At 50.0% G+C, this 23,425-nt stretch overlaps 2 protein-coding genes across 3 annotated transcripts, besides 1 other annotated feature; one reads left to right on the top strand and one right to left on the bottom strand.

Annotated features, from left to right (window-relative positions):
• Window positions 1–2,430: 2,430 nt before the first annotated feature.
• Window positions 2,431–10,401, bottom strand: TCF23 (transcription factor 23). 2 transcript variants are annotated; one of them, XM_005264159.6, is made up of 4 exons: window positions 10,050–10,401; window positions 9,040–9,282; window positions 6,616–6,717; window positions 5,828–6,511 (listed from the first exon to the last, which is right to left on the bottom strand). In XM_005264159.6, exons 1-4 carry the CDS (start codon window positions 10,269–10,271, stop codon window positions 6,446–6,448), a joined length of 633 nt encoding a protein of 210 aa, XP_005264216.1. In that variant the 5' UTR covers window positions 10,272–10,401; the 3' UTR covers window positions 5,828–6,445. The 2 variants fall into 2 exon arrangements, with proteins under 2 accessions (NP_786951.1, XP_005264216.1); NM_175769.3 differs by having other exon boundaries at window positions 2,431–6,717.
• Window positions 6,432–6,491: an enhancer, noted in NCBI's record as "active region_15492". NCBI's record gives its function as "activates an Ori minimal core promoter by ATAC-STARR-seq in GM12878 lymphoblastoid cells {active_cell/tissue: GM12878}" and the evidence as "EXISTENCE:reporter gene assay evidence [ECO:0000049][PMID:35858748]".
• A 9,593-nt stretch (window positions 10,402–19,994) lies between the features above and the next one.
• PRR30 (proline rich 30) lies at window positions 19,995–22,557 on the top strand. Its single transcript, NM_178553.4, has 3 exons — window positions 19,995–20,102; window positions 20,383–20,435; window positions 20,711–22,557. The coding sequence occupies exon 3, from the start codon at window positions 21,076–21,078 to the stop codon at window positions 22,312–22,314; it is 1,239 nt and encodes a 412-aa protein (NP_848648.2). The 5' UTR covers window positions 19,995–20,102; window positions 20,383–20,435; window positions 20,711–21,075; the 3' UTR covers window positions 22,315–22,557.
• The last annotated feature ends 868 nt before the right edge of the window (window positions 22,558–23,425 follow it).

Genomic DNA, 23,425 nt, shown 5'->3' with positions numbered 1-23,425 from the left:
CCGCCTGGGGGGAAAGGCTCCTGCCCTCTGAGCTCTTGGGTGTCCGTAGCTGTCAGGCTTTTCTGCTGGGATGTAGGAGGTGGGTGGGGGCTGGGGCCTCTGGGGCCCAAGGGAGGACATGGGGCCCGCTGCTGTGGATGGTTCCACCCAGAGACTCAGAAGCACCTCTGCCTTCGGGGGAATGTGAGGCCGGTCCCTGAACCCTGCGACGATTTACCCAGTGTTGCTGAAGCTCCTGTCCCTCCATCTGTTGTCCTGTCAGAAGCGGCTCCACTGCAGGAGCTACGGCCAGGTAGTACCTGCTGTCCAAGTGACCCCTCCCTGCGGTTCTCCACAGATGCCACTGACTCTTCAGGTTCCCTTCTACTCCTTTTCTCTCCCCCTTCCACCAGTGCCCCTCTCTCTCAGGATCAGCTAAGCATGTGTCCCACACGGCTGTCTCAGGTTCTACCCACAGGACTGCACTGGCTTGGTGGGCAGAAGGATCTCAGGGCTCAGAGGAGCTCAGCCCCGGCCTGGGCCGGTCAGCTCCCCTCCCCAGCCCACCCTCTGCTCCCCACTGTGCTGTGCTCTCACCCTCTTCCGCCTGCTCTCCCTCCCAAACCCAGCCTTGCTGGGCTCCCTTCTAGTGGGGAACTTTTCAGCATGAATCCCATCACCACCTGTCGTTTACCTTCACCAGCTCTGTGTTTGCAGGACCACCTCGTGATCACTGGCTTGTCTCCTGAGAAGCTGAGGAATGTGTGCTGCGGTACAGCAGAGACAAGGACGCCATGACTCTGGCCCGCACAGCCCATCAGGGAAGCAGCCCCACCTGTGTCCTCCAGGAGACCTTCCTGTGATATTGACTCAGGACCCCACCTCTGTCTTCACTGTGCCAGATGCTCCCCCTCAACCCAAGTCCTCTGTCTCTGGGTGGAGTAGAGCTGCCTCAGTACGGGGATGAGCCGGCGGGCAGGCCAGGGGCTTTCCTCGACAAGCTATTCTAGAGTTGATGTTCTCGTAATTTTTGTTCTCAGGAACCCTTTACATTCTTAAAAAAAGTAGGACCCCGAAGAGTTTTTGCTTATGTGGGTTATATCTATCCATAACCATCACATTATAAATTAAAATAGAGAATTTAAAAAATATATTTATTTTAAAATAACACTAATTGATTAACCCATTTTATGTGAACATATATAACATTTTTATGCAATATTATTATTTTCCATATAAGAAGAAAATATTTAGTGAGAATGGCAGTGCTTTACATTTTTTGAAAATATCTTTAATGTCTGTTGTAATAGACAGCTGGAGTCTCTTATCTGCTTCTTCATTCCATTTGTTGCAATATCACATGTCATGTGGCTCCTGGAAAATTACACTACACTCTTGAAAGAGTAAGAGTAAAAAATATAGACAACTTCTTTTTTGTTTGTTTGTTTGTTTGTTTGAGACAGTCTCACTCCTGTTGCCCAAGCTGGAGTGCAGTGGTGAGAAGTGGTAAGAACACAGTTCACTACAGCCTCCACTTCCCAGGCTCAGGTGATTCTCCCATCTCAGCTTCTCGAGTAGCTGGGACTACATGTGTACACATCCAAGCCCAGCTAATTTTTTGTTTTGTTTTGTTTTTATTTTTTTGAGATGGAGTCTTGCTCTATCGCCTAGGCTGGAGTGCAGTGGTATGATCTCGGCTCATTGCAACCTTCACCTCCGAGGTTCAAGCGATTCTCCTGCTTCAGCCTCCTGAGTAGCTGGAACTACAGACGCCTGCCACCACACCCAGCTAATTTTTCTGTATTTTTGGTAGAGATGGGGATTCACCTATTGCCCAGGCTGGGCTCAAACTCCTGACCTCAAATGATCCACCCTCCTCAGCCTCCCAAAGTGCTGGGATTACAGGCGTGAGCCACCATGCCCACCTTGTTTTGTTTTTTTGGGACGGAGTCTCACTCTGTCACCCAGGCTAGAGTGCAGTTGTGCCATCTTGGCTCACTGTAACCTCTGCCTCCCAGGTTCAAGCGATTCTCATGCCTCACCCTCCCAAGTAGCTGGGATTACAGCTGCCACCACACCTGGCCAATTTTTGTATTTTTAGTAGAGACGGGGTTTTGTCACGTTGCCCAGGCTGGTTTTCAATTCCTGGTCTCAAGAGATCCACCTGCCTCCACCTTCCGAAGTGCTGGATTACAGGTGCGAGCCACCATGTGTGGCCTAAAAATATAAAACTATCAAAGTAGTTTTGGCTACTTAGACCACCTTAAGGGCCTCGGAGACCCCCAGGGTTCCTAGACCATACTTTGAATACCTCTGAGCTGGAGCAGGAGTTAGCAAACTTCTGTTAAGGACCACAGAGTAAATATTTTAGGCTTTTCAGTCTCTAGTGCAGCTATTTGACTCTGCAATGCTATCAGGAAGGCAGCCATAAATAACACATAAACACATGGGTGTGGATGTGTTCCAATAAAACTTTATTTACAAAAATACATGGGGGGCTGGGTTTGGCCCACTGGCCATAGTTTGCCTACCTTGATCTAGAATAGAATAAGCTTTTAGGGGCCCTGGGTTTAGGGCTCATGCCACAAAAGGGAGAGGACAGTGCCATCTGACTCACCCTAGCCAGGCTCCTCCCAGAGGAAGAGAAAAGGAGTCTCAGAGAAGGCTAGATCCTCTACTTCTCTAGTTCCCAATTTGGTAAAATCCAGTGTCCACTGTATTACTTAGAAATCACTGGGCCAGCCGGGTGCGGTGGCTCATGCCTGTAATCCCAGCACTTTGGGAGGCCGAGGCGGGCGGATCACGAGGTCAGGAGATCAAGACCATCCTGGCTAACATGGTGAAACCCCGTCTCTACTAAAAATACAAAAAAAAAAAAAAATTAGCCGGGCGTGTTGGCGGGTGCCTGTAGTCCCAGCTGCTCGGGAGGCTGAGGCAGGAGAATCGCGTGAACCCAGGAGGCGGAGCTTGCAGTGAGCCGAGATCACGCCACTGCGCTCCAGCCTCGGTGACAGAGTGAGACTCTGTCTCAAAAAACAAAAAAAAAGAAATCACTGGGCCAGCTCTGCTTCTCCCACAGCCGCATTTTTTTTTTTTTTTTAGACGGAGTTTTACTCTTGTTGCCCAGGCTGGAGTGCAATGGCACAATCTCAGCTCACTGCAAACTCCACCTCCTGGGATCAAGCAATTCTCCTGCCTCAGCCTCCCAAGTAGCTGGGGTTATAGGCATGTGCCACCACACCCAGCTAATTTCGTATTTTTAGTAGAGACAGGGTTTCACCATGTTGGTCAGGCTGGTCTTGAACTCCTGACCTCAGATGATCCACCCCCGACCCCGGCCTCCCAAAGTGCTGGGATTACAGGCATCAGCCACCACACCCAGCCCCACAGCCCCATCTAAGCCTCCACCCTGCCATCCTGTTCCTCAGAAAGCACATGCTCTGTGGAGGGAGCCAGCAGGGAAGTCTTGTTCCCCACCTCCACCTCCATCCCAATCCCAAGTCCTGGGGATGGGGCAGGTGGTGCAGGAAGACCAGGTAGGCCAGGCCAATCCCCTATGGAGCAGCTGAGCCTCCAACTCCTGAGCCAGGCCACCCTAGTGTCATTTGTCATCCATGCTCAAATGTTTTCATCCATATTTTCTTTTATTTCTTTTCTTTTCTTTTTTTTTCTTTCATTTTTTTTTCCCGAGATGGGGTCTTGCTCTGTCGCCCAGGCTGGAGTGCAGTGGCGTGATCTTGGCTCACTGCAACCTCCGCCTCCTAGGTTCAAGCAATTCTCCTGCCTCAGCCTCCCAAGTAGCTAGGATTACAGGTGCCCACTACGACATCTGGCTAATTTTTGTATTTTTAGTAAAGAAGGGGTTTCATCATGTTGGCGAGGCTGGTCTCGAACTCCTGACCTCATGATCCGCCCGCCTCGACTCCCCAAAGTGCTGGGATTACAGGCATGAGCCACTGAGCCTGGCTGTGTTTTTCTTTCTCATTGCAGAGACAAAGCGGGTTACTTCTGGTTCATTCACGCATCCAAGTCCTGACATGTCTCAAGGGCATTACTGTGCTTGTCAGGGAGGGAGGGCCCAGTCCATCCTCTGGTTATTCCCATCCATCCCCTAGGCCTTCCCTTGGCTCACCCTGCCCCCTGCCAGGCCCCTTTGCTTGCTGGCCTGACGGGGCTGGGTCTCTGTGGCTGGAGGAGATGGCCTCTGCCCCACCCCCCTCGACTGTCCTGGGCACAAAGGAGAACAGCTTTGCCTGGAAAGGGCCCAAGACACCCTGAGAAACTTGTAGCGATGGGACCTGCCTCCTGCAGCCCTCCACCTGCGTCATCCTTCCTGTGCCCTCCTTGTCTACACCAGGGCCATGCGGTCACCCCTGAGGGCTCTAATGTTACTAGGCAAAGGCCTGAGTCTGAGCAGGACAGGGTGGGGCAAGCTCCAACCCAAAGTCTACTCTATTATCAGGAGAAGCTCCATGCTATCCAGAGGACCCCGACACACACCCCAAGCCAATTTCCCTTCATCCCCAGGAAAGTGTGCCACCAACTGAGGAGGAAATGTATCTGCTTCTCTTCCTAGCACTCCCGTGAACTCAACCAGGAAGATACTGCTGTTTGGCTTTAAAAATAGTACATTCTAGCTGGACTTTTATGGTCTTGTGAAGAACACTGTGCTCATGCCCTCCCACACCTGGCCTCTGCCCCTGCCTGGCCCTGTCCAGCTGCCCACATCAGCTCTGCACAAGCTCTTCAGGGTCCCTCTGCAGAGACGTGGTTCAAGGCAGATTTACGAGTTCAGCCTTGGCCGAGGCCTTCTCCCCATGGCTCCCATCCACATTCCAGCTGTTCTCCCACATCCCAGGCAGCTCGGGGCTGGGATGTTCTGTGTCTCTTTTTCTACCTCTACCACAACTGGCTCAGTCGCACCCCCAGCCCTATTTCAGCTCTGCCCTGGCCAGCCCTGTGGAGGTACAGGGTCCTGTCATGCCAGAACCCAGACCCCAACCATTCCCAGCCTGCCCAGAGCTCACTTACATTCATGATAACAACAATGGTGTGTGTCTAAGGATAACCTTGTTGGGACTCTAGTTGGTCATGCCCGTCCCCTCCCACTCTGAAGGGCTGAAATTTAACCGAAAGGTAATTTGTTCCATCTGGACTTCAGGTGCCAGGTTTGAGGCTACATCCGATCTGGAAAGTTATTTTCAGTGTGTGTAGATTCTATGATTAGTCCTCAAGTTATTTCTTTAGGGCCAGAGATGAGTTTCACCGAAGCTATATCACATTTCTGGCACCCCATGGTAGGACTTAGAGAAAGCCCCCAAGGACGATCTCCATGAGGCGGAGCCGGCCCTAGGGAGCTAATAGACTATAGAAATAACTCCAGAGCCAGGGAAGCCTCGAACACAAATTTTACAAGGAGCCAATTGAGTGGTTGAGCAGTTGAAGGCAGGCCTATCTTGTTTTTGCTTGAGGGCAGGTTTCTAACATAATGGAAAGAGAAGACTGTAATGATCACCCCCTATATACCTGATCTTCTCTTAAGGTCCTTCAAGGATGTAATTGATTCTGTCAATATCCTTCATATTTAAGGCCATAAGTTGCTGCTTGGTTCAATTAAGGTAGAATTGCTTCTGGTTAAGATCTCAAACTAGGCATCTGGGACTATCTAAAAGTTTCTCTGGAAACTGGAATGTAAGCAATGCAAGATGTATGGCTTAACCTGTAGATATAACTCATGTCAAGAAAACAGTGGGGTTGGGCATGGTGGCTCATGCCTGTAATCCCAGCACTTTAGGAGGCTGAGGTGGGAGGATCACTTGAGGCCAGGGGTTCGAGGCCAGCCTGGGCAACATATCAAGACCCCCATCTCTACATAAAAAGAAGAAGAAACGAAAAGAAAAGAAAAGAAAAGAAAAGAGTGGAAGAGTGCAGGAGCCGAGAGGGAGAGAAAATGTAGTGGTGAGGGGCAGCTTCTGGAAAGGCCCATACTACAGAGGGAGGAATCCTGAATTCCTCACTATCTCTCTAACATCAGGTAAGCATCTCATGATGCAGTTAGAAAGCACATTTCCTTCTTCAGTTTCCCCTCTGGCTGTGTGACCCAGCCCAGATCTGTTTACACTTGGAGCTACCAGGAGCCTATCCGGCCACCTGGCTTTCCCATCAGCACCTGGGGCTGGTGCCATCCCAGGCCCCTCCCTCTGCACCTGCCTTTTTGCTATCTGCAGAGGGTTTGTAGAAACCTTAGGGGAAGAAAGCTAGGGTGGTTCCCTACCTCAACTTTGAGCCCAATTATACCTCTTTCTCTCCCACTTCCCAGTAGCTGTCACAGAAGAGCCATGGGGAAGTCCCCTCCTGGGGACCAAGGAGGAGGCTCTCCAACCTGTGCCCCTCTAGGTACTGTCCATCACAGAAGTGCTACTGCTTCTCTTGGTCTGCATGCTGGAACTTGGGAGCTGAGTCTGAGTCAAGTCTGATGGCTGAGAATCTGGGGGCTGGTAGAAAATCCAGGCCCATAAGCATGAGTCACAGTCTAGGAGAAAAGGGCGAGTGTGATAATTATTTGTCACCAAGAGCTGGTGAGAGTGGTGTGGTGGAAAGGAGAGCATCTGCCTCTCCAGGGACTTGGGACCCCACCTCTGCATCTCTTGTTCTTTGGCTGGGGGTGCTGGCTGTGGTGGAGTCAAGATCGGAGTACCCCAGGCCTCCAGCATAGAGACGAGATCGCATCGGCCACTTCTGCAAGACACAGATTGGGAAGTGAGAAATGCTGCTATTGCAGCCCTTCGTGGTCCAGGATCCTTGACACCCAAAACCCAGCCTTCTCCAGCATCCCTCCCTGACACCTTCCCCAGCCATCACTGCTCTGATCAGGGTCATCATCATGTACAGCCCCACACATTCTCCTGATCACCCAGAGCCTGGATGAGAGACACAGGAGGAGCCATCTGAGGAGGGAGAGGGCCCCAAGAAGAGCAGCGCTCTGTTGGGAGGGAGGTGGACAGAAGATCAGCTGGCCTGGGCAGAGCTGGCAACAGCCAGAGGCTGAGCAATGGGCAGAGCAGCAGAGCCAGGAAAAACTCCAAGCTGGGTCCTCCAAGGTTTGCCCATCTTTCCAGCAGGAGCATGAGCAGTCCCAGAATACACCAGGTTGATTGCCCTGAGGTCGCCCTCCTGTTCACAACCTCTCCACCTGGGAGCTGAGGGAGCTGCTTCCTGGCCAACTGCCCCACCCTGTGGATGTGCTGGAGTGCTGGACCTAACCGGGCCCTCATTGGTTCATTCTTCAGCATAGCTGTTGATCACCTACTACAAGCAAGGGCCTTGCCTTGGTCACTATTTTACAGCGAAGGAAACTACTATATCATCCCAGGACCCTGCACCACCACTGACATTTCAGAGTTCCCCACTTAGTCTCAAATTTATACATTTTAGCTACATTTGCATTGAAGAAAAAAACCAAGTTTTAAGACATTTCAGAACTATGACATTTAGGGGAAAGAGGTGGTGAAAAGTATCATAAAAATAAAGTTGAGAGGTGAGAGGATCACTTGAGCTTAGAGTTTGAGACAAGCCTGTGGAACAAAGTGAGACCCCGTCTCTACAAAAAAAAAAAGAAAAAAAAAAGCCAGGTGTGGTGGCATAAGGCTGTAGTCCCAGCTACTGGGGAAGCTGAGGTGGGAGGATTCCTTGAGCCCAGGAGTTTGAGGGTACAGTAAGCTATGATTGCGCTACTGCACTCCAGCATGGGCGACAGTGAGACCCTGTCTCAACAATAAGTAAATAAATAAATAGTTGGGTGTGGTGGCTCACACCTGTAATCCCAGCACTTTGGGAGGCCGTAGTGGGTGGATCATCTGAGGTCGGGAGTTTGAGACCAACCTGGCCAAAGTGGTGAAACCCTATCTCTACTAAAAATAGAAAAATTAGCCGGGCATGGTGGTGCACGCCTATAATCCCACCTACTCGGGAGGCTGAGGGAGGAGAATCACTTGAACCGGGAGGTGGAGGTTGCAGTGAGCCAAGATTGCGCCACTGCACTCCAGCCTGGGCGACAGAGTGAAACTCTGTCTCAAAAAAATAATAGTACATATATAAATAAATAATAAAATAAAAAAGTTGATACCACTGCAATGTTATCCTCAGAGGGCAAAGATGACCCTTCCTTTTTAACACAGTGCACTCTTCAACCAGCTCCTTATGGCGCTGTCCCTGGAGACTGTTTAGTGGCTATGAGCTTAGGGTCTGAAGTCAGACACCCCTGAGTTCAAACCGCTTTCAGCCTCATAACCTCCCTAAGCTTCAGTTTCCTCATCTGTAAAGTAATCCTCATTTGGTTTTTGCATGGATTAAAAGACAAAAATACACTAACGTACTTAACCCAGCTCCTGGCCTATCTTTAGCACTCAACTGTTAGCTGTTATTGCAAAGATGATTAATGTTCATTAGACTTTCCATTTTGTACTCTGGAAGAGAAGTAAGGCTCATGTTAGCTTCTATTTTACGTGTAATAAAACTGAGGTTGAGAAAAGCTAGATTGCAGTCTGGCAAGTGGTGCGCGCCTTCCCTGTACTGCTGCCTGCTAACTCCCCCAGCTTGGTTGCTTCTAGAATGACGGTCCCTCAGACCGTTGTTCTCCTGGAGGACAGACCTCTCTTGCAACAGAAGCCTAGAAAGCACCAAGGCAGGCACAATGGGCTGAAGCTGCATGGGGATCTAGGACTCTCCTTGGTATAATTTCCTTTCCCAGGCCCCAGACTTGGAACCTGCTACATTTTTCCCTGTGACTCTAAGAACCCCAGAGTCTTTCCCTCCTCTTCAAGGAGGTGCATTCCCATGAAGCCATTTCCAGCCACACTCCCATGAGAAACCCAGGGTCAGCGCAGCCCCAAGGGTCAGCCTTGGCTCCTCTCCCTCTGAGACAGCAGGAGAAATTGGCTCCGACGTCAGTTCTGCACAGGGCAGGGGGCCCAAGTCCAATGTCCCCCCTCATTCCAATCCCTTTCTCCAAGGCCCTGGGCATTAAGATCCGCCTCTCAAGTCCCAGGGCTTGTGACTTACCTTGAGAGGGTGCAAGTAGCGGAGTCCACGCAGGAAGGGCGGCCAGGCAGGGCCAGGCAACTCGTGGCCGAGTGTGCGGGTGAGGTGGGCTATGTAGCTGGCGGCGAGCACCAGCACGTCCAACTTGGAGAGCTTGGTGTCGGGCGGCACGGCAGGCAGAGCAGCCTGCAAGGCCAAGAAGGCCTGGCGCAGCGTCCTGACCCGGCTCCGCTCCCGCGCGGCATTCTCAGGACTGGCCTCGCTCTGCACAGAGGGCCCCAGTGAGTGTGTGTGACCTGGACTCCCAACTGCCCTGACTTCTGAGAGCGTTTGAGCACAAGGTCTCCCACCAGAGTAGAAGGGTGTCTAGCAGTAGGCACCAGAGGGCCTCTGCCCACCTACGTCATCTGCAGCCCTGCCGCGTTTCACAGCTGAGGAAGTTGGGGGAAGGCCTGGCCAGGGGTCAGATGGCTGCAGGATGGCAGAGCTTGGCTCAGAACCCAGAGTCCTGTGTTCTCTCTACTACTCCACTCATGCCTCCTCAGAGCCTTTGTCCTGTCCCATGCCCAATCTGAATCCTGCTTATCAGGGTGTGCTGGGGCCAGGGGGAGTTCAGAGCTACACCCTGTTTGGGAGGGCGGACCCTTGACCTAGCCAGGTCCTGAGACGACGAGGCTGCTGTGGGAAAGAGGAAAGACACAGAACCAGGGGTCAAAGCACACAGGCTGAAGTCCCAGTCCTACCACTGGCTGCTGCTCAGTGACCTTGGGAAATTCACATCCCTCTTCCCGGCCTCAGTTTCCTCAAGAGAAGTGAGTTAGTGCAGCTCTCTGAGCTGCACTCTGGTTAAGACCAGCTCTGATCTATCCCAACTACCCAAAGCATGATGCCTTGGAGTCTAAGGGGCCAGTGTCCCCTCTCTTGGGCAGGAATGGTAATACTGAGTGAGGCTGTACCATCAGAGGTGACATCTCCCCACCTTCCAACCCCTTCCTCCCCTGGACCCCTCTGCAGGTGCAGGATTTCCTTACCCTGCCAAGAGCCAGGCCCCCAGCCCTGGTCCCTCGAGGGCCAGGGGTAGCTCTGCTCCATCTCTGGTTGCTCCAGCTTCTTTCTTCCCACGGGTCCTGCCTTGTCCTGCTGAGGCGGCTCCTCTTCCTGTCAGCGCCTGGCAGCAACCGTGCTTTGGCCTGAGTCTGGCTATGCCCCACCCCTGGCATGGCTGGTGGCCCTCTGGCCTTCCTCTGTGACATGCCACCCCACTGGGGCTGCAGCCCACAGAGCAGAAACACAGTGCCTGAGGAGGCCTTGGACTCAAGCTAGCTGGCTGTGGCTGGTCATCCAGCCAGCAATATCTACATCCGAGGAAGCTGGCGCCAACTCAGTCCTGTTTGCTCCCTGCTCTGGGAAAACCGCCCACCAGGCACAGCCCCCGCGAAAAGCCTCCGCCTGCCTCCTAACCCAGCTGAGAGGTGGGGGTGCTGGATGCTGGGAGTGGCCAAGCCTTGGGAGGAGGCCCATGCTGAAGAAGGCAGGAGGATAGTGGGGAAGGGAGCTCCTTTCCGGCCATGCCTAACCTCAACAGTGGTCCTATGGTGGACCTGTGACTTCCGCTTTGGAGCTCACGTCCATGGAGAGGACTTGAACCTCCTTCGTCTGTGCCAGAAGGCTGCCTGCATACATCCCTGAAAGGCCTTTCCTCCCCTTGCCAATGAACGTGACCTTCCAGCCACAGAGCGCGATTTGCCATGCCCCAAATATGCCTCCGATTTCCACTCTGTGTTTAAATTTACCTTTCCACGCCCCAGAATACCTTCCTCCAGCTCTGCCAGGAGGTACTGCCCATCCTTCAGGTCTCCGCCTTTCATTCGTGAAGACTTCAAATCCCGCAGGCCCAGAGCCCATGGGTCCCTGTTTGATTGGTACAATCACAGCCTGGCTACTTTCCCAGAAGTTCGATATTCATAGATTACTGTGTGCCAGGCACTGTGCTAAGCATCTTATTTATTTCTCAGAGCAACCTTTTAAGAAAAAAAGAGACTCAGTTTAGATGTGTGGGAACTGGTATACTGGGAGGTGAAATAACTTGCCCAATGTCAAACATCCGTTAAGTGGTGGGGTGGGATGAAAATCCAAGCCGTCAGTTGGACTTTGAAGGCTACCCCTCACCTGATGCTAGCCTGCCTCCCATGGGTTACTCACGCGTCTGTCCCCATGCTAGACATGAGGTCTCTGAAGGCAAGGACCATGGTGTTCCTGAGTTGCATCACATCCTCCAAGAGCTAGTTAGGAGAAGGCGGGCTGAAGGAATCGCGAATCTGCCACAGCAGCCCCTGCTGTCTTCCAGGGACCTCTGCCTGTAGCAGAATCCAGCCTGATGTCCCTTGTCCCCCATTCTCGAACCTCAGGGGAGATCAAATAAGTAAGGAGAAAGTAAAAAGGTGGATGTACAGTGAGAAAGATATGCAGCCCACCACAGAGAAAGGGAAAAAGAGGCCGGGCGCGGTGGCTCACGCCTGTAATCCCAGCACTTTGGGAGGCAGAGGCAGGTAGATCATGAGGTCAAGAGACGGAGACCATCCTGGCCAACTTGGTGAAACCCCGTCTCTACTAAAAATACAAAAATTTAGCTGGGTGTGGTGCCACGTGCCTGTAGTCCCAGCTACGCGGGAGGCTGAGGCAGGAGAATTGCTTGAACCCGGGAGGCAGAGGTTGCAGTGAGCCGAGATTGCCTGGGCTCCAGCCTGGGCGACAGAGCGAGACTCCATCTCAAAAAAAAAAAAAAAAAAAAAAAAAAAAGGAAAGGAAAGGAAGGAAGGAAGGGCCGGGTGCAGTGGCTCACACCTGTAATCCCAGCACTTTGGGAGGCTGAGATGGGCAGATCACGAGGTCAGGAGACTGAGACCATCCTGGCTAAGATGGGTGAAACCCCATCTCTACTAAAAATACAAAAAAATTAGCCGGGCGTGGTGGTGGGTGCCTGTGGTCCCAGCTACTCAGGGGGCTGAGGCAGGACAATGGCGTGAACCTGGGAGGTGGAGCTTGTAGTGAGCCAAGATCGTGCCACTGCACTCCAGCCTGGGCGACAGAGCAAGACACGGTCTTGAAAAAAGAAGGAAGGAAGGAAGGAAGGAAGGAAGCAAAGAAAGAAAGAAAGAAAGGTAGGTAGGTTAGTAGAAACAACCTGCATGTCCATCAGTAGGGAAGTCGTTAAATAAATTTTGGCATCTCCATACTATGAAATAATGTACAGTAATAAAAATAATGACAGCCCTTTGTTAAATGACATGAAAAACTCTTCAAAACACACAGTTGTGAAAAAAGCTAGTTGTAGATCAATATATATAGTAAGACCCCAGCCACGTAAAAAAATACACCAAAAAATAAAAAATAGAAATGTAAAGTTTTATGTGCTTATGTGAACATATAGAAAGGAGATGGAAAAGATGTGCATCAGGCCGGGCGCGGTGGCTCACGCCTGTAATCCCAGCTCTTTGGGAGGCCGAGGTGGGCGGATCACCTGAGGTCAGGAGTTCGAAACTAGCCTGGCCAACATGGCGAAACCCTGTCTCAACTAAAAATACAAAAATTAGCCAGGTGTGGTGGCAGGTGCCTATAATCCCAGTTACATGGGAGGCTGAGGCAGAAGAATTGCTTGAACCCGGGGGCGGAGGTTGCAATGAGCTGAGATCACGCCACTTCACTCCAGACTGGGCAGAAGAGCGAAACTCCATCTTAAAAAACAAACAACAACAAAAAAAACCCCAAAAATTATCCAGGTATGGTGATGCATGCCTATAGTCCCAGATACTCGGGAGGTTGAGGCAGGAGTCGCTTGAACCCAGGAGGTAGAGGTTGCAGTAGGCCGAGATCGTGCCACTGCACTCCTGCCTGGGCGACAAAGTGAGACTGTCTCAAAAAAAAATAAAAAATAAAAACAGTGCAGTTACCCCCTTGCTCCCTCTTGGATCGCTCACTCTGGGGGAAGCCAGCTGCTATCTTGAGGATATCCAAGCAGCCCTGTGGAGAGGCCCATGTTGTGAGGAACTGAGGCCTCTCACTGACAGCCACCACGACTTGCCAACCGTGGGAGTGAGCCACCTCAGAAATGGATCCTCCAGTTCCAGTTGGACCTCCAGATGACTGCAGCCCTGGCTGTCGGTTTGAGTGCAACCCATGAGAGACCCTGAGCCAAGATCACCCAGCTAAATTGCTCTTGCCCGTAGAATTCCTGACTTATAGAAGCCATAGAAGATAATAAATGTTTATTGCTGCTTAAGTTTGGGGGTAATTTGGAAGCAGCTATAGATAACTAATGTAGTATGTGTTACTGAAGCCTGTGCATTGTTGTATGAATAAATTTTAAATTTACACAAATGATAATTGTATTAGCCAGGTGCAGTGGTGCATGCCTGTAATCCTAGCTTCTCAGGAGGCTGTTGGGGCAGAGGGGAAGATCACTTGAGCCCAGGAGTTCCAGGTTACAGTGAGCTATGATTGCGCCACTGCACTCCACCCTGGGCAACAGAGATAGAATCTGACTCAAGCAATCCTCAAAATTACAAGTTTCAAGCAATTAGGCAGAAAATCAATAAGGATATAGACGACTTGGGAAACACTATAAACCTACTAAACCTAACAGACATCAAATAACACTCAACAACATAATGCTACAGATTCTTCTAAATTGCACATGGAAGATTCTCCAGAATGGATCATATGTTAGAGTCTCCAGAATGGATCATAAAACAAGCCTCAACATGCGCAGTGGCTCACGCCTGTAATCCCAGCACTTTGGGAGGCCGAGGCATGCGGATCACCTGAGGTTGGGAGTTCAAGACCAGCCTGACCAACATGTAGAAACCCCATCTCTAGTAAAAATACAAAATTAGCCGGGCGTGGTGGCACATGCCTTTAATCCCAGCTACTTGGGAGGCTGAGGCAGGAGAATCGCTTGTACCTGGGAGGTGGAGGTTGCAGTGAGCCGAGATCGCTCCATTGCACTCCAGCCTGGGCAATAAGAGCGAAACTCCACCTCAAAATAAAATAAAATAAATAAAACAAGCCTCAGTAGATTTAAAAGGACTGAAGGCATACAAATAATATTCTCTAACCACAATATAATTAAATTAGAAATCAATAACAGAGCTAACTTTTGAAAATTCACAAACATAGAGAAATTAAACAACACATCCTTAAATAATCAGTAAGTTAAAGAAGATATTGCAAGGAAAATTAGAAAATACTTTGAGACGAATGTAAACAAAAACACAACATACCAAAATTATGAGATCCAGCTAAAGCAGTGAAAAAGAAGGAAAATTTATAGCTGTAAATGTTTATATTTAAAAAAAAAATGGCCAGGCGCAGTGGCTCACGCCTATAATCCCAGAGCTTTGGGAGGCTGAGGCGGGCAGATCACCTGAGGTCAGGAGTTTGAGACCAGCCTGCCCAACATGGCAAAACCCCATCTCTACTAAAAATACAAAAAAATTAGCCGGGCATGGTGGCAGGCGCCTGTAATCTCAGCTACTCGGGAGGCTGAGGCAGGAGAATCGCTTGAACCCGGGAGGCGGAGGTTGCAGTGAGTGGAAATAGCACTGTTGCACTCCAGCCTGGACAACAAGAGCAAATCTCTGTCTCAGAAAAAAAAAAAAAAAAAAAAGTTAAAAAAATTTGAAAACGAGAAAAAATTTCAAATCAGTAACTAACCTCTTTAGGAAACTAGAAACAGAAGAGCAAACTAAACTCAAAGTAAGCAAAAGGAAGGAAATAATGATGATTAGAGCAGAAATAAATGAAATAGAAAATAGAAAAACAGGCCGGGCACAGTGGCTCAAGCCTGTAATCCCAGCACTTTGGGAGGCCGAGGCGGGTGGATCACCTGAGGTCAGGAGTTCGAGACCAGCCTGGTCAACATGGTGAACCCCCGTCTCTACTAATAATACAAAAATTAGCCAGGCGTGGTGGCAGGCGCCTGTAATCCCAGCTACTCAGGAGGCTGAAGCAGGAGAATTGCTTGAACCTGGAAGGCGGAGGTTGCAGTGAGCTGAGATCGCACAATTGCACTCCAGCCTGGGGGACAAGAGCGAGACTTCATCTCAAAAAAAAGAAAGAAAGAAAGAAAGAAAATAGAAAAACAATAGAGAAAATTAGCAAAACCACAAATTGGTTCTTTGGAAAGATCAACAGAATTGATAAAACTTTAGCTAGATTGACAAGGAATAAAGGAGAGGGGACTTAAATTATTAAAATAAGAAATGAAAGAGGGGAAATCACTACTGACCATACATAAATGAAAAGGATTTCAAGCAAATACTATGAACAACAGTATGCCAACAGATAGATAATTTAGATGAAACAATTTCCTAGAAAGACATAAAGTACCAAAACTGACTCAAGAAGATATAAAAAATTTGAAAAGAAATAAAACGGGATCAAATTAGTAACTTTAAAATTCCCCACAAAGAAAAGCCCAGAACCAAATGGCTTCACTGGTGAATTCTACCAAATATTGAAATAATAAAGAATTAATACCAACCCTTCACAAACTCTTCCAACAAATAGAAGAGAACACTTCCAACTCATTCTATAATTGTTCCCTGAAAAAATTGTATATGTAAAATGACCTCCAAATGCTGAAGGAGCCGAGAAGCCAAAGAAGGCAGACAAATCCAGTTTGTCAGTATAGGGTGATTAATTAGGAGGAACTTACAGATGGAAGCATGGTCTTGGGTGGCTGCAAGACAGGTAGATCTCTGAACCTCAACCCCGCAGACCCAGGGCTTATCTCATGGGGAAAAATACACACATGGTCTGGAAGGAATGTGTAGGTGGCTGAGAAAAGGCTGCAGGTATCACACCCTATAATGGATTCCACAGCATCAAGGGCTGTTTTGGAGGAAAGGCAAAATTTACAATGAATAGGTGTTCCTACCTAAAGAGTAATACATCAACTAGACATTTTGGAGTCATTCCCAGACTCAGGGTTAGTCAGAAGTTACATGACAGATTAGCATTTAAAATAAAGTCACTCTTGTCCCCACAATAATGTCAGTTTTACCCTGACACCAAAACCAAAGACCTCACAAGAAAACTACAGACCAATATCCCTTATGAACGTATACACAAAAATCCTAAACAAAACACTAACAAACAGAATACAGCGACATATCAAAAGAACTATACACTATGTCTGAGTGGGACTTATACCAGGAATGCAGGGTTGGCTTAACACCCAAAAATCAACTAATGTTATACATTATATTGCTAGAATAAAGGACAACAACTACATAGTTATCTAAACAGATGCAGAAAAAGCTGTTTGACAAAATCCAATACCCCTTCATGATACAATCATTCAGCAAACTAGGAACAGAAGAGAACTTCCTCAATTTGAAGTGAGCCCAAAAGTATCTGAGACAGGTCTCAATCAATTTAGAAAGTTTATTTTGCCAAAGGTTAAGGACATGCTTATGACACAGCCTAGGAGGTCCTAATGACATGTGCCCAAGGTGGTTGGAGTACAGCTTGGTTTTATACATATTAGGAAGACATGAGGCATCAATCAATACGTGTAAGATGCATATTGGTTTACTCCAGAAAGGCCAGACAACTTGAAGCAGGGGCTTTCAGGTCATAGGTGGATGAGACAAACAGTTGCATTCTTTTGAGTCGCTTTCTTTTTTTTAGACAGGGTATCACTTTGTCACCCAGGCTGAAGCACAGTGGCGCAATCTTGGCTCACTGCAGCCTCCACCTCCCGGGTTCAAGCGAGCCTCCTGCCTCAGCCCCCCAAGTAGCTGGGACTACAGATGTGTGCCACCATGCCCGGCTACTTTTTTTGTAAAGACGGGGTTTCACCACGTTGGCCAGGTTGGTCTCGAGCTCCAGCAGTCTGCCTGTCTTGGCCTCCCAAAGTGCTAGGAGTATAGGCGTGAGCACCCATGTCCGGCCACTTTTGAATCTTTGATCAGCCTTTCACTGCATATACAATTTACATGTGAGAGGGGGCTAAAGGAACAGTCACTTAACCCTTAGTCTGGCTCAGTGAATCTGCATTTTTACATAGACAGTAGGACAGAGGAAGCAAATCAGATATGCATTAGTGTCAGGTGAGCAGAGAGATGATGACTTTGAGTTCTGTCCTTTAGCCTGCACCTGTGAAGATAAGCTATCAATTTACATTGCCAAGGTGAAATTCAACAGAACTGTTTGGCCAACAAGGAATTTCCTTGTGGGCAAACTGTGAAGGAGGTATGTAGCTTTTTACAAAATCTTTTTCTTTTTGAGATGGAGTCTTGCTCTGTTGCCCAGCTTGGAGTGCAGTGGCGCGTTCTCGGCTCACTGCAACCTCCGCCTCCCAGGTTCAAGTGATTCTCCTGCCTCAGCCTCCCGAGTAGCTGGAATTACAGGCTCAAAACACCATGCCCGGCTAATTTTTGTATTTTTTTTTTTATTAGAGATGGGGTTTTACCATGTTGGCCAGGCTGATCTCAAACTCCTGGACTCAAGTGATCCACCTGCCTCAGCCTCCCAAAGTGCTGGGATTATAGCTGTGAGCCACTGCGCCTGGCCACTTTTTCAAAATCGTTGTAGCTATCTTATTTAGGAATAAAATGGGAAGAAGGTTTGCCTGATGCAGTTCCCAGCTACTCGGGAGGCTCAGGCAGGAGAATCGCTTGAACCCAGGAGGCTGAGGCTGCAGTGAGCTGAGATCGTGCCACTGCACTCCAGCCTGAGTGACAGAGTGACACTCCGTCTCCAAAAAGAAAAAAAAAAAGCATGTATGAAAAAGCCAGCCGAGCATGGTGGCTTGTCCCTGTAATTCTAGCACTTTGGGAGGCCAAGGCAGGCAGATCACTTGAGCTCAGAAGTTCAAGACCAGCCTGGGCAGCATGGCAAGACCCTGTCTCTACAAAAAAATACAAAAATTAGCCAGGCATGGTGGCGTGTGCCTGTGGTCCCAGCTATCTGGTGGGGCTGAGGTGGGAGGACGGCTTGATCCTAGGAGGTCAAGACTGCAGTGAGCCTTGATTGTGCCACTGCACTCCAGCCTGGGCAATAGAGTGAGACCCTGTCTCAAAAAAAAAAAAAAAAGAAAAGAAAAAGAATAGAAAACCCACAGCCGGCCGGGCGTGGTGGTTCATGCCTGTAATCCCAGCACTTTGGGAGGCTGAGGCGGGTGGATCACAAGGTCAGGAGTTTGAGACCAGCCTGGCCAATATGGTGAAACCCCATCTCTACTAAAAATACAAAAAAATTAGCTGGGCATGGTGGTGCACGCCTGTAATCCCAGCTACTCGGGAGGCTGAGGCAGGAGAATTGCTTGAACCCAGGAGGCAGAGGTTGCAGTGAGCCGAGATCGCGCCACTGCACTCCAGCCTGGGCGACAGAGCGAGATTCCATCAGCCCCTCAAAAAAAAAGGTCACTAAAGTTGGTATACAACACCCCACTGCTAAATTTGACTGGCTTTTAAAAAGATAGGCTAAGGATTTGAATATACAATTCTTCAAAGAAGATAAACAAATATCCCTTAGCACATGAAAAGATGCTCAACATCATTAGTCATTAGGAAAATGTAAATAAAAACCACAATATCATACCATTTCACACCCACTAGGGTTGCTAAAATAAAAAAGACAGGCAACAACATGTGTTGGTAAGGATAAAGAAACATTGGAACCCTTATACCTCGCTGATGGGATTGAAAATTGGTACAGCCAACTTGGAAGACAGTTTGGTAGTTACTCAAAATGTTAAATATAGATTCACCGTGTAACCCAGCAAGTCTGCTTCTATGTATCTAAAGATAAATGAAACCATATGTTCACATAAAACTTGTACAAGAATGTTCATAGCACTATTCATAATTGCTAAAAAGTAGGAAGAACCATGCCAGGCACGGTGGCTCACGCCTGTAATCCCAGCACTTTGGGAGGCCGAGGTGGGTGGATCACCTGAGGTTGGGAGTTCGAGACCAGCCTGGCCAACATGGCGAAACCCTATCTCTACTAAAAATACAAAAATTAGCCAGGCATAGTGGCCCGCGCCTGTAGTCCCAGCTACTCAGGAGGCTGAGGCAGGAGAACTGCTTGAACCCGGGAGGTGGAGGTTGCAGTAAGCCAAGATTGTGCCACTGCGCCCCAGCTTGAGCAACAGAGTGAGAATTCATCTCAAAAAAAAAAAAAGTAGAAAGAACCAAAATGTCCATCAATTAATGAATGGATAAACAAAATATGGCATATCCACACAAAGGAATATTATCTGGCAATAAAAAGGAATAAAGCGATGACACATGCTACAACATGAATGAACCTTGCAAACATGCGAAGTAAAAGAAGTCAGATACAAAAGACCATATATTGTATAATTCCACTTATATGAAATGTCTAGAATATGCAAACCTATAGAAACAGAGTAGACTGGTGGTTTCCAGAGGCTGGGGGAAGAGTGGGGACCAACTGCTAATGGGTACAGGATTTTTGGGGGGACAAAAATGTTCTAAAACTAGATTGTGGAGATGGTTCTACAACCCTGTGAATAAACTAGAAGACATCGAATGGTACACTTTAAATGGGTAGATTGTATGGTATGTGAATTATATCCCAATAAAGCAGTTAAGAAAATAGTTATTAAAACATATAATAGGTATATCCCAAGGGGGAGAAAGTTGTGGTGCATGAACTCAGCCCAGACAGGCTGTGTTAGTGGGGAGAGCAATGGATGAAGGAGGTGGTTGGAGCTGTAAAGTGTATAGGCCAAGAGTAGAGGTGGGGGCTGGGTCTTGAAGGAGAAACTGAGTGCACTGAAGAATTCTGCCTGCTTCACAGCGTTATCAAGGGCCAGCCTTTGGATGGTCTCTTGAAGAAGGTCCCAGAGCTTCGAGGAGGAGATTCTATGATGTCAGCACCTGACCTTTGTGACATAGGCACATGCTGCCAGGGGGGAACTGAACTCAGGGAATGGGGCCCCCAGCTCCCATTGGGGTCGGCGAACCTGGTGCCACCCCTTAGACAAAGTCCCAGTCTCCCAGAGGCTTTTACCAGCTGGCCCCATTCCTTCTGCTGCTGGGTATAATAAGGTATCTCTGTCTGGGCCAGGGTGAGCTAGAGGACATCAGCACTAGGGGCAATAAGGGGTCAGAGGAACCAGAGTGGCAGGACACTGGGATGCTTGCAGAACCCCCGAATCAGGATTAGGAGAATAAAAATCTGTACCACAGGCCTCCGCCTGGCTAAAGGAGGACTGAGGGCAAAACTCAGGGCTCAGACAGAAACCCGGGTCAGAGTGCACTTAGTGTTAGACGCTGGGGACAGAGAAAGGTGTATCCACCATTTGGTGACCCTGCTCCTCTCTCCCAGGTCCTCTCAACGCTGAAGTGCCTGTGAAACACAGCCCAGAGGAGTTCTCATTGGTAAGAGCGCTCAGCACCAGAACACCCTCAATTCCTGTTCCCATCTCAGCCCTTATCCCCCGAACCCCTCCTCCAACTCCATCCTACCCTCCCTTCCTCCTTATTCCTCTCCTCCCCACTTCTCACCTTCCCTGGAGCATTTTGCCAGTTCTTTTGATCCCAAAGGTGACATGGATTTAAAGTCTTGGTGAGTTCAGCTTGGAACTGGGGATATGAGGCAGAGCCAGAAATGGACCAATTCTCCCAATGTCTTGGGTTCTCTCTTTTCTCTCCAGGTCCTATGGGCTTTGTCTTCCTCTCTGCCCCACCCAGATAATCGCTGCTGCCCCTCCACTCCCAAGATGCAGCTGTGATTCTCCATCCCCACACATCCCTCATCAATGGTTGACTGCAAAGAAGTGAGAAGCCAAGCTTAGATTCATGCTCATGCCTGAACACCCTGAGAGCCTGGTGCTGGAGGGCTGGGTATCCCCTTGGCCTGCCACCAGCACCTGCACCCACACCAGGCTGGAGCCACGCTCTGCGCACAGAAGGTGGCCTTGATTTCTCAGGCACAGCTGACCTCAGAGATACTGGTCCTGACTCTGCCAGGTCTCTTATCCCTAGTCTTGTTGCCCCAGTTCCTTCTGGATTCAAGGCGATGTTGCCTCAAAACAAGGACCAGGTGCTGCCACAGACCTCAGTGCTCCCTGGGCGCCCCACTTGGGGCTTCTCACAACTTGTGGACTCCTCTCCTCACAACCTACAGCCTCTCTCTCCCCATCAGGGCCTCCCTCCCTCTCAACCACCGTTCTCTTCCACTCAGTCCCGTCGTCCCTCCTCCCCTCCACCAGCATCCCCCTCTCCTGGCTTCCAATTCGGCTCTTGTGACTCAAATTCTGACTTTGCTCCACATCCCTATTCTCCCTCTCTCCCAAGTTCCCCTACTTTCTTTCACCAGAACTACCTCTCTCTCCCCCGTCCACGTGCATCCTCTCCCTCCAACCACTGGCTGTACCCCTCTCCCCCTCTGACCCCTTCCTTTTCTCCCTCCCAGCCTCAGAACTCCTCCCTTCCCCACTCACCTTGCCAGTCCCCTTCCCACCCCGAGGAACTGCATAGCTCCACACTCACTTCCCCAGGCCCCAGCCCACCTTCTCATAGGCTCCACTCTAACAGGCAGACATGGCGCTGGCATCAGTACAGGGACACTGGGTCCGGGTCCCCTGGAGTGGTGGAGAGATGCGTGCCAAGCGAGAAGGATCCTGCACAGTTCAGGGACCCAGGGGCCCTGGCCCAGGCCCTGGTGGTCCAGCTGGGGCACCGCCGCATCGCACACGACCTGCGGCTACTGCTTTTGCAGCACCTGTGGCTAGGCAGAACCGGCCAGGCCCCAGTCGTGGAGTATCCTATATGCCTGGTGTGCCTCCGGCCCCGCAGCCCCTCCTGCCCCCTCCCCAGGTACAGGACTGGACCCCGGCTGCTTGCTTTCCCTCAACTACTGCCCTGTGTGCAGGGCCAGGAATCTGGGCCACTCCGGATAGGCATCGGCTTCGGCCTCCGCCTGCCTCAGGGCCAGGCCAGGGCCTTGCATCTGCTGCCCGAGAAAAGGCCGAAGGAAGCAGGGCCTCAGGGCAAGGCTACTCAGGCCTGTGGGCATCAATTGCCAGCATCTCAGCCTCCAGCAGCTCAGGCCCGGGCCGACCCAGTCCCAGGCACACCCTCCCAGACCAGGAGCTTCAGGTCTGCAGGCCTTCAATCACCAAACTCCCCACGATGTTTCTCCGGGCCTCCACCTCGGGCACCAAAACAGGTCACTACCTCCCTGAAGCCCAGGCCTTGCCCTGGCCCAAAGAGGCCAGTTTCTCTGGAGCTCATTCTCCAAAAGTCATCAGTCTAGTTCCAGAGCCACGGAGGCCCCCTGGAACACCCCCTCCAAACCCAACCCTCCCAACCAGGCCCCAGATCTCGGGGAGTCCCCGAGACACCCTGAAGGGCTGGCTGGCCGGAGGTCAGGTGTGTTCTCCTGCTCTGAACCCTGGGAGCCCCTTGTGGAGTCTGCTGTCTCCAGGCTGAAGAGGACCAAGGGCACCAAGGCCCCATTCAGCCCTCCGTGTATCTAATAAAGTCTGACCCTGTGAAACTTGTGTTTGCGTCCTGCTGAGTCCACAGAATAGGTGGCTGTAACTATAGGGGTGCCAGTCCCTAACAAGACCCTTGGTGGCGGGGAGGGGGTGGTTCATGCCTATAATCCCAACACACTGGAAGGCTGAGGTAGGAGGATCACTTGAAGCCACGAGTTTGAGACCAGCCTGGGCAACATAGCAAGACCCTGTCTCTCCAAAAACAAAAATATAAAAAAATTAGCTGAGTATGGTGGCGCGTGCCTGTACTACCAGCTACTCAAGAGGCTAAAGTGGGAGGATCACTTGAGTCCAGGAGTTCAAGGTTGCAATGAGCTATATCATGCCATTGCACTCCAGCCTGGGTGACAGAGACCCTATCTCAAAAAAAAAAAAAAAAAAAAGAGGGCATGGTGTGGTTGCTCATGCCTATAATCCCAGCACTTTGGGAGGCCAAGGTGGGCATATCATTTAAGGTCAGGAGTTACGAGACCAGCCTGGCCAACATGGTGAAACTCCATCTCTACTAAAAATACAAAAATTAGCTGGGTGTGGTGGCGGGTGCCTGTAGTTCCAGCTACTCAGGAGGCTGAGGCAGGAGAATCACTTCAACCTGGGAGGTGGAGGGTGCAGTGAGCTGAGATCAGGCCACTGCACTCCAGACTGGGCAACAGAGCGAGACTCCGTCTCAAAAAATAAAAAAGACCCTGGAGGGTGGTGTCAAAGGAAACGGAGAGGCCAGAAAGAGCAGGTGCCATGTATCCAAGGAGGACAAGGGACCCACAAGGCCTGGGGACTTGAGATATGCAGAGAGCTTGGCCAGGCCCTTCACACATCTAATTCAACTCTGTGGGACAGATATTGGCATCCCCAAAGATGAAGCCACTG

Source organism: Homo sapiens, chromosome 2 (assembly GCF_000001405.40).
Source record: "Homo sapiens chromosome 2, GRCh38.p14 Primary Assembly".
Classification (NCBI taxonomy): domain Eukaryota; kingdom Metazoa; phylum Chordata; class Mammalia; order Primates; family Hominidae; genus Homo; species Homo sapiens.
The sequence above is the reverse complement of the archived record's forward strand: the minus strand, read 5'-3'. Positions and strand labels throughout refer to the sequence as shown.